An 11597-nucleotide genomic window follows, 5' to 3' on the forward strand; every position below is an offset into this window, starting at 1 on the left:
ATTTTGCTTTGGTAACAAATATCACCAATATCACAGTGTCATAATAACAAAAGTTTATTTCTCACTCAGATAAAGGCCACTGTCCAGATGACTTTGATGTGTGGCATTTCCTTCTCAACACCAAGTTTCTGGCATCACTGGACCAGAAATAATCATGGAGACATCCACATCAGCTCCTCAGCAGCTAAGTCTCAAAGTAAGTCTTTTTGTTTTGTTTTGTTTTGTTTTTTGAGATGGAGTCTCGCTCTGTCACCCAGGCTGGAGTATAGTGGCTTGATCTTGGCTCACTGCAAGCTCCACCTCCCGGGTTCACACCATTCTCCTGCCTCAGCCTCCCAAGTAGCTGGGACTGCAGGCACCTGCCACCACGCCCAAGTAATACTTTTTTTGTATTTTTAGTAGAGACGGGGTTTCACCGTGTTAGCCAGGATGGTCTCGATCTCCTGACCTCGTGATCCACCCGCCTCGGCCTCCCAAAGTGCTGGGATTACAAGCGTGAGCCACCATGCCCAGCCCAAAGTAAGTCTTTTAATTCCCAGTCTTGGACCACTGTGCAAGACTAATCGCAAAGTCCCATGCAATGCAAAGGGGCTAGGAAATGTAGTTTCCCTAACTACAAAAAGGTGAAGAGAACTGGTGACATTGAATTCTAATAATAATAATGTTTACCTCAAAACTCCATCAAAATAAGACAAGTTTAACTTGAAACTGCACCTGTCTGTACTGGGTTGAATAATATTCCTCAAAATTTATGTCTACCAGGAACTTCAGTGTAGGATCTTTCTGGGAAATAAGGTCTTTGGAGATGTAGTTAGTTAAGATGAGGTCATACTGCTTTAGGATGGGCCCTAAACCCAAAGACTGGTGTCCTTAGAAGAAGGTCATATGAAGATTTAGAGAGGCACACAGGGAGGCTATCTGTGACAATGGAGATAGAGATTGAAGGGATGCATCTACAAGTAAAAGAATGCCATTGGTGGCCAGCAGCCACCAGAAACTGGACATGGAACAGATTCCCTTCAGATCATCCAGAAGAAGCCAGCCTTGTCAAAACCTTGATTTCAGAATTCTAGCTTCTAGAACTGTGAAAGCATAAATTTCTGCTACTTTAAGGCAAGAAGTTTGTGGTAATCTGTTATGGCAACCCTAAGAAATTAATATACCATCCCCTAAAAAAAAAAAAAAAAAAGTAGTAGGTAGACAGTTAATCACTTCTCACTTGTTCCTGACCTACAGACAAATGCAGAAACACAGTCACAGCAGCTCCCCGTAGGGGCTTGGCTTTGTTTTAACTCAGGATATTCATTTTGAAGGAATAGTCATAAAATACATTACGCTGAACTATTTAAACTCAACGGGGCATCATTTAATGTTCGACCAAAGGATCCATCTGCTTTCCTTAGGTTAATATTCTGTTAAAGTATTTGTTCTGGAACTCTGGAAATTTGTGAAGAATTTGAAGTCTCCAGGGAAGCTAAGAGCATTTAGAATGGAACTAATGGTCTGTACATTTCATTGTATTTTTACTGCTTCAGCAGCAATGTAGAGGTTAGGCATATTGAGTTGGGGTTAGAAACTAGGGTTAAACACTTAAAAGAATGTCAGGCATTCTGTGCCAAGGTCACCATTTAGCAATTTCACAAATAACTAAATGGAATGCCAAAAATAGGTTACAATAAAAATCAGGCCAATGAGAAGACAGAAGTGAAGAACTTAAATTATTTATTTATTTTAATGATATATCAGACATCTTGTAAGATACCATCTCTCTTCTGGAGAATACTTTATTCTCTACTCCAATTGCAGTCTTCCAGCAATAGATTAAATCATGCCATTTCCAGAATGTTTTTAGCCTGTTTTGTTTTCCTAAGATCACTCTCTACTGAATGTTTGCAATGAAGCAAAATAAACTACAAAACACTGCAATTTCTATTACATCAATTTATTGACATTAATATTTAGTTTCACTTTGCAAATGCAACCACCTTTGAAGCATGCTTATTGTTCTTTGCTGCATCTTATTTCAAGCTAATTTCTATCAATGTAGGTATCTGAGCTTTCGTGGCATATCTAGTTAGATGAAAGAAAAATCACTGAAGTGGCCTACTGCAACAATGAAATACATTCCGGCATTATCTGTGTTAACACTGCCATTTGTACCTCTAAGGGTCTAATTTACTTCAGCAATGTTCCATGAAGGGCATTGGCCAATGTAAAAAATCTGTATTGAGGATTATAGTCAAATATATAATTTTAACATATCCAAATGGATGTATGTGTAATTACTGAATCTATAATAACTAATACCATCATATCTTGAAAGATAGGATTTTCATGCTTATATCTCCAATAAATTGACATGGTTTTCCTTAAGAGTGAATTGATTTTATATTACCATAACTGGACTAAAATAGACTGAAATGTTCTTTGCGATGATTGCCATTAAGTGAAACAAGAATATTAAAATGAGTAGCTAGGCAAGAAAACAGACCTCTTATATCTCTGTAGAATATAGTACTTATTTGTTTTGGAATGTAAAGACCAGAATCAGTATCAATTTTCTTGATATAATTCACATACCTAGGTGATTTATGTTTTTCCAATTTGCAGAGAATACAATTGTTCTTCCATTTCTTCCAGTCTTTCAAGTGCAGCCTGGGTATTTTTTCATCATTTAATAGAGTCTAATTGTTTTTAACCCGCATGTCAATACTGTCCAAAAGTTTGTTAAAAAACATTCCTTCAGAATTTGGATCTGCTGAATTGAAGAGACCTGATTTCAGCTCCACCAGATGCAGATATGTGTTTTGTTTTCTGGTTATCACTGTCATACAGCTTAAAACATGTATGCTTTTCAGAATATAGTTGTCTAGGCAAACTGTCAGATGTATGAAATTCAATATTGGTATATGCAAACACCGCAAACTTTTCTTTAAGGAGTAGATGGGAGAATATGTTTATAATATTAGGAATCCTAGACTATATTTTCAAGTTATCTGAGCAGCTATGACCCTTAGGTGGAAGTGTTATATATAATACGTTAAAAACATTTTGCTTTCCTCGCTAACGATTTGTTCCTTTTCAATTCAAATTTGAATAATTTGTCATGTATTATTATTTCTGTTAAATGTATACTGTATTTAAGATGGATATATTTGGTGGCTGTATTTGTTCTGATATCTTATGATCTAAATTATGAGGTACCAAGATTGTTTCTCTGTTTATTTTTTCAAATTATGTTTAGAAATACTGTAATAAATATTCAGTAGTGATATAAAATTAAGAATTATATCAAATACAATATAAAAGCCATTACCTATGAACTGATCCATGCCTCATTTTGTATAAGTTTTATTCTGTGATCTCTTGTTCACTTAATATCTTGTTAAATGCTGATATCTCAGTCTTTCTGAAGCCCTGAAATGGTAATTTTAGCAGTTCAGAAAATGTCTTTCATTTCAATCAATAAAAAACTTCTGTAAAAAAAATTACTGAATAGACAACTGTTCCACATTTACACTTATTAAAAACTGACATAAACAAACACAATCTGTACAAAAAATATCCCAAATCCCATGTCACTTTGGAACAGTAATATTGAAAGACATTGTCGCCTAAGACCCCCTCTTCCTCTGCCACGGCCATGTCCTCTTCCTCTACTTCTGCCTCAGCTTCTTCCTGCAACAGCTTCCCTTTTCTTAGATTTCACCTTAAGTTCACCATCCACAAGTAGTGTATCCAGAGATAAACTGTCTGGTAGAATAAAATATCAATGTTATTTCTTCGAATACTCAGTGTTTCCAGCTGTACAGTTTCTCTGTTCTTCAGGGTCATTTTCACAGCTTTAAGATGTGTATTCATGCTGACATCCACACCACTGGATCAGTGGGTTCCAGTGGTTAATCTCCCTGAACGGTGATGGCATCTGAATGAAAATAACTGAACCAAATTGCACTGAAGTTTTTGAAATACCTTTGTAATTACTCAAGCCGTTACTCCCTACACTGACGCAAGGATTACAGAAACTGATGTCAAGGAGGTGAGTGAGTTCAACTACCTGTTCTGGGGGCCTGGACATAAAAGACTTTGCAAATAGAAAGAGGTGAAAATGAAGAAGAAAGCTGTATTGAAACAGAAATACAAGTCAAAAGGAACAATTACAAAGAATCATGCAGGAAGGAAAACTAGGTATTGATTTAGAATGGTTGAGTTACATTAAAATAAACCAAATATGCTTTGTTAAAGTTTAAATGTGCAGCCACAATTTGAGTATTTTTGGTTTATATGCCCTCAAGTAAAGGAAAAGCTGAAAGAATTAATCATATTTGAAAACCATATTTTATTGTATTTTGATTAGATATTAAATTTGCAGTTTTATTATAAATTGTACTGTTATTTTATGACATGAAAACTTATACTATAAATTTGGACTGCTATAGACTGCTTAGGTCCAACTTCAAGCGGATCTGCATTTTTTTATGTCATATTAAATATTTATTTTCTGCAGACTGACTTCGGAGTAATTCTTGAGCCAGGAGGGGAGGAATTAGTGTTCAAATTGCTGAGATCTTAGGTCAAAACGCTACAGAAAATAATCACTATGTAAAAAACAGTGACTTAGAGGCAGTCACCCCTTGCCAGCAATTCCAAGAGTTGAGGCTTCATGCCTCAAGACATAGTGACAAGAGTTGAGTGAACCAGAAATTGAGGCAGTGAAGGTTTTTACAGGGAAAGAAACAAACTGTGGGTGTATGGGAGAAATGGAAGAGGGTGACAGACTGGGGAAATGATAAAGGCCATTTTGGAAGCCCACAGGGAAGTGGTCTTGGGAACCTGGAGACACTGGCAGATTCAGAAGGCCAAGGGGATCTAGCTTATACTTTGGAGGCAGGGTGCTGGAAGTGAAGGCAGGTAAGCCATGTCAAGAGCCTGGGAGGCAGGGGAAAACTGGAAGGGGACCCCAGGTGAAGAAGGGTTTGGGATGGGGTGCAGAAGTCCATGGAGACGACTGGCAGATCGACTTTTTGTTTTGTTTTGTTTTTAAATGCAAGTTGACATTTTATTAATATGTTATCATTTCAAACATGTATTAGCATAACTGTTGTGGTTGTAAATGGTGTAACCATCACCTTAAAAATCAGAAGCAAGACAAAAACATATGACTACTATTAGTTAACATTGTTCTGAATTTTCTAAATGAACACATTCAGAAAAAGAGATCTGCAGTATAAAAATTGTAAATATTGCCATTATTTTCTGAAACTGTTTACCTGGAGGATCACTTATAAATAATTTACTAAGAAATCTAGGAACAAAACAATCACTCAAATCAATGGATATAAAAAAGACACCACTACTTCTATGATGAAAATATTTATGAGGACAAAATATGAAAATAGAGGAAAGTATGAGATGGCAATAGCTTTCAACTAATTTTCAGAGATACTAGTAAATGAAAATAATTAAAGCAATGTAGTACTGATGAATTCACAGACAGATCAGGAGAACAGTATAGTGTGTGTATCTACTTCTGTATCCCTTCTAGGTATCTGTGTATCTTTCTATATGCAAGATATATATCCATGTATCTTGCACCTGATGGAGAAGGAAGGATCTGGAGCTTCTGCCCAGAATAAATACAGCAGACACCACTTAAAGAAGCCCAGAGTCAAAAAATATTAATTCTATGGAGAAGTTTATTCAAGTGAAATAGCTTAATTTCAATTTTTAACTTTCATGTTTTTGAAATCAGTAAGAAATTGCACTGGGAACTGAGAGTCAGATATACATGTAGAAATGTTGCCGCCTACATCACTCTGCCAACAATCAGGCATGGGAATGGCCAAGTCCTTACTTCAGGGAGTGGGGAGAGTGATAAAGTTAAAAAATATTAAACAGAAGTTTTTCTTAAATTTTTTCCTTAAAAATATTTTCTTTCCATGTTACAGAAAATGCTATATGCTAATATTTGGTTTATTCTGTGAGCTTTCAACTCTGACTTTTATGTAATGGGCTTGTATATCATCTACTTGATCATATCTCTGTCTCATGTCCCCACTAAACAGAAGAATTCTTAAAGTCAAGAATGATTAACAAGATTGATTCTTTGCCTCAAGCATTGTAGGACTATTTTTTTAAATCTCATGATATTAACAATAGTGCTCGAACTAATAGGAGTAAAAAAAATGGACTTATCTGGCTCTTAGAACATTTTATAGAATTATGCAACAAGAGTAAATTAAAATATTTTTGAATGACTTCTGCACAACAGTTACTGAGGATGCAATTATGAAGGCAAACATAGTACCTGCCTTCCTTGATTTTAGAGTCTAGGGAAGATTTTAAAACCCAAAATAAACCAAAAATACTTATCTTCTATTCTTTGGAGATGGCTCTCTAAACTGCTCAATTTGTGCTTCTTGTAGGTTAACTGAAGATAATACTAAATACGATATTTATGTCTTTCCATTCCTTATCAGATTATCTCTTCTAGAATTTATGTCCACACTGTTTTATCATATCAGCTAAGTGCTTTTTGAGATTCAGTAACTAATACCTGACAGAGAAAATTAATATATACTACACCATTTAATTTCTAACCTATCGATACTATTTAATTTGAATGGCCTTTAAGGCACTCACAAATAATAGACCACCTACCATTTAAATTCCATCTCAGCCTCCAAATATAATTAAGAGAAAAGTAAGAACAAAAGTTGATTTTCCCAGAATCTGGGAACAATTTACAATGTTAGCATTAATCAATGTTAAATATGATACTATATCAACATTTACTTCTTTACACTATGTGACTATGCTATGTACTCAACCTCTTATGCTGCTATAATCAATGCAGAAGCTCTTTATACCGCCTTTTCAAAGCATTAAAATTCAAATCCAAACCATTAAACATTATATTTCATGTTTGCCTACTCTTAATCTGCAATACAACAATTAAAAACCATAAAATAGTGATGTAAAATCTATAATGAAAAGAGTTACTTCCCTCTGAGATTTGACTAATATTATGACAATCTGCTTTCTTGTTACTATACATTTTAAATGAAGTGATGTGTCTTGTGCCAGTATTTAAAAACTCTCTTTTGGATTCCTACCAAAAATAGTACTTCAGGCTAAACCTCAAAGACAAAAAACATTTAGTAGATTTGTTGAAATGGAGTTTAATATTCACATTAGTTGAGGCTCCTTTTTTGATAGGTGATATAATTCTAATATAGTCTCATTTAGAAATTTACAGTAAAAGAGCACACCACAACTTCTTGAGAACAACTTGGGAGATATCATAGAATATTATACTTTTTAAAAATATTCTTGAAAAAAGTAAAGAGTCTAATTTTAACGTGGGGTGAGGAGTGAGAAAAGAACAAGTAATATCTTACCACTGAAATTCAGAAACATATTAATTTTTTTATTCCTGTAGTAGTAAACTAAAAAGTAGAAAAGCAAATATTGTTAGACATATTCTAAAAGTTTTAAAAATCAATTTTATTATGCAATCATTAAATTACATCCTTATTTTTCTATAAAATTAGGCATCTATTTTGCTTTAAAATTTTTAAGTACATATAAGTTCTAATTACTAAAGATATTGTCCTAAATATTCTATTGTTAAGAGAATCAATATCTTTCCATTTCTGTGGATAAAAAGCACGGACAGAAACACTGCACCAATAAGAAATCACAGAGGAATATAAGCTTTCAGGATGCTAGGACTGTTGCAGACACCTGGGACAAATCCTATCTCTTCCTGTGAGGATACAGAAAATGAGAAATTGATGTAGTTTCTTCCACTATCAGCGAGATTATTGAAACTAGAGCCCAGGAACAGGAACCAAGAAATCATAAGCAAACAGCAAGCGACAGCCTGCTCCTAAAATATCAGCAACTAAAAATCTTAGAAGTTCGAACTTGTCATCTTTCTGTTAGGGAGTAATCTCTTTGCCTGCTAGGTAATGGAAATTTTTGAAGAAAATTTGCACATATGCCAAGTGCCACCTTCATCTGGCATATGTATAAATCTCAACTACAGCACAGACGTCAAAAGTCAAAAGTCTGCTATAAAATGGGTGTCCATAACAAGTCTCATCTTATAAATACAATAGAAGCATTTTTGGTTGAAGTTAGAGCATGTCTCCCAAGGAAGGTAGCTTACGATACTGATAATGCAAACTTAAATGTGTCTGTCCTTACTAAATCTTACTGTCTTGGTTATAAAGATACTACAAATTCAATCCACAGTGAGTAAATGAAATTTATGAAATAAATGTAGGTATGGATGCCCTGAAATATTTAATAAAGATCATTAATCTCCTCTCCAAAAAGGCAAGGGCACATGATACTTCTGAAACATATTCTAATCTTATCCACGTGTAACATTCAGCTGAATTAAAACAAAGAAATAAATTTAAAAAAAAACTAAATTAAAACAAATAAATAAATAAAAACAAATTTTAAAAAATAGTCAAATAACCAATATTCCTGATAGAAAACAAATTATCAAACATTTTTGAGAAGACAGCAATACTAAGAATGATTCCAGTATTAAATGAATTTCTGAAATGAATAGTAAAGAGCATCAATATAAATCTACACATTTTAAAAATTATTGCAAAACATTAGCTTTTTAGAGCCAGGCTACCAGGACCTTCAGTGTGTTCTTTAGTCAGACCCATCCTTACCCACGTGTTAAAATCTGAATGATGGACTGGGTAAAGAAAATGTGGTACATATATACCATGGAATACTCTGCAGCCATAAAAAAAATGAGATCACGTCCTTCACAGGGACATGGATGGGGCTGAAGGCCATTATCTTTAGCAAACTAATACAGAAACAGAAAAACAAATACTGTATGTTCTCTCTTACAAGTGGGAGCTAAATAATGAGAACACATGGACACATAGGGGGGAACAACACACACTAGGGTCCTTTGGAAGGTGGGGAATAGGAGGAGGGCGAGGATCTAGAAAAACAACTAATGGGTACTACGCTTCATACCTGGGTGATGAAATAATTTATACGACAAACCCCTATGACACAAGTTTACCTATAACAAACCTGCCAATTTTACCGCTGAACTTAAAATAAAGGTTAAAATTAAAGTAAAATAGAATCTGGCTAGTCCAACCGACAAAGGCAAAAGATAACCAGTCAAAGCATAAATGCATAGTCATATCACCTTCTTGCTCCCTGTATTCCAGCTCATTTGCATGAGTATTACCCCTTGTTTTCCAATTGCTCCAAGGTTCACTCTGACTCATTCACAACAAGGGCACTATCTTTTGACAATGCAGTTTGGTCAAGTACTATGTCCGACCTCAGATTCCTCTCAAGGATGACCTTGAGTCTCCCCTCATGGCCATGCATCACAACTGCATTTGACATCTACAAAATCCTATGGGACTGACTGCCTGGAATGCTCCTAGCTTGCGAAATAGGATTAAATACTAATTCTGTGGATCAAGGTGACCCCAAGGGTCTCATTGCTCTGGGAGGAAATATTGACACAGTAGTGCTAGTCCACTCCTTGGAGCTGGTGCGTTATCACTTCATGAGGGCAAATAAGAAGCATCTCTTCTTGTATTCTGTGCAACCCTGATAAGTAACACATACTGTTTCTCTCACAGCACAAGGCCATACCTAGGTATGATGGAGTTTATAAAGGAGTATGTAATTGCAGAATCAGGTAAAGCAAAAGGGGGAAAACAGATATGGGAATAAGAAGAAACTAGCAAACTGTCCCAAAGGCATTTATTGTTTGTGAGGGACTTTGCATGTACTTGCTTAATATTTAGCATAACCCTATTAAATAGAAACTATTAGTATGATCCCAAGTAACTTGCCCAAAGATGCAATAATAGAAAGTGGAGGACTCAGAATTCAAACTCAAGAGTCTATACCCTCTGTGTATGTCTGTATATGTGAGAGATATATTGTGAGAGATGTAGATGTAGAGAGGGCTTCACGGCCCTCTCATGTCTTATTACCCTCATGCTCAGTAAGTTTTTGTGCTTTTTAACCCCTCTGAGAACATCTGCTAATCCTGCCTTATACAAAGAGGACAAACGTGAGATCTGATTCTGGCTGAGAAATGGGGTGTGGGAAAATTGGAGTCAGTGACCCATTATATTAACAAACACCACGTCCTTGTGCTGAAGTTATGGAAGTAAGATCTTGCACTGGGAGCTCAATTTTAAGGCTTTGGTAGAGCACAATAACCAAATCTACTGAGCTTCCCTATGTTTGCGGTTCTTAACCCAAGGACAGCAACAGAGCTGATGTTTCACACATCTCTTTGTTGTCATCATTGACAGTTTGCTCGCCTTACTCAAAACACTGCCTCCTAAACATTAAGAGATACAGAGCTCATTTGCATCATATGTTTACTGGCCCCTGGAGGTCCATTCTAGAACTAGGTGTAAAGATTAATGCATATACCACACTTTTTTATCACACTATTTTCCCCAGACCCCTTATCATAAAGAAGAATCAGTTAGGACCCAGTCACAAAATCTGATACTCAACCATGTGAAAGAATAAGAGTAAAGCAAGAGTCAGGGAGAAAGTGTTCCATTTCCCTGAAAAGTAAAGATGATAGGATTTCATCTAACACTTGAAAGAAGATTGTTGGCTCAGTGTTATCTAGCAGCTTTGTGGACCAAGCCTTGACTGAGAGAACTCAATTGCTCTTTAACAACAAAGTTGTAGGAAGATAAACATCTGAGTCACTGGTTCTAAACCATTACACATTATTCCTTTCTTTCCTGCTTCTGTGATTCCAGCTCTATATCTCAATGACTTGAGTCACATCTAAACTATGCCTAATTTTGATGACTCATTTTAAACGAGATACTCTTCTTCTCACACCTTTTCTTCCCCTATTTCTGCTCACCACATAATGCGAGTTCATTAGACTAAAATCATTTTCTGTTTTGCTCACTACTAAATACTCAGTGTCTTAACAGCATCTATCCCTCATAGTGTAGGGGAGGAAAAAATACTTTCTTAGAAGAAAGGATAGACCCTTCTAGCCTCCTTGGCTGGTCTGGTCTGTGAATTAAATTGACATGAGACAGGTTGAAAGAAAAAAAACCAACAACATGGATTACATATGTATGCACAGGAGTCCCACAGAAATATGTGGCTCAAAGAAGCAGCCAGATGATTGAAGCTTTTATATCATCTTGAGCTACAGAAAGGAATAGGAATTTGGGGTTTCTGAGGGGGTGAGTGGAGGCAAATTATGTGAGAGTCAGGGACAAAATGTATAGTAAGTAAAAGTTGTTTATTATGTAAATAAAAGTTTCTCTGGTGATAAAAGTTGTCTTCACCTGAGAAAGAGTAGCTCTCTTCCTGGTACATATACCTTTACTACCTTTACTAATGAATATTTCCTTTATACATGTAAATAAATGGGGAGTGTGATACTTCATTTCAGGTAGCTGAAGAGAAGTAAAGAGCTTTTCCTGCTTTGGCTGGTTTTCAGATTCTTTCTGCTCAAAGTAAGCAATATGCTGAAGTGGCAAATTTTGAGGTGGCATAATCTGATCTCCTGCAGTCATATTTTGGGGTGGTAT

The 11597-nt window shown here is 35.6% G+C and overlaps 1 pseudogene, besides 1 other annotated feature; it reads left to right on the forward strand.

Moving 5' to 3' along the window:
- Positions 3555-4754: an enhancer, noted in NCBI's record as "MED14-independent group 3 enhancer chr12:88214374-88215573 (GRCh37/hg19 assembly coordinates)". NCBI's record gives its function as "activates an origin of replication core promoter dependent on BRD2, BRD4, P300/CBP and CDK7 cofactors, and independent of MED14, by STARR-seq in HCT116 cells {active_cell/tissue: HCT116}" and the evidence as "EXISTENCE:reporter gene assay evidence [ECO:0000049][PMID:35650434]".
- GADD45AP1 (growth arrest and DNA damage inducible alpha pseudogene 1) lies at positions 3879-4427 on the forward strand (annotated as a pseudogene).

The sequence above is a fragment of the Homo sapiens genome, chromosome 12, assembly GCF_000001405.40.
Source record: "Homo sapiens chromosome 12, GRCh38.p14 Primary Assembly".
In the NCBI taxonomy this organism is placed as follows: domain Eukaryota; kingdom Metazoa; phylum Chordata; class Mammalia; order Primates; family Hominidae; genus Homo; species Homo sapiens.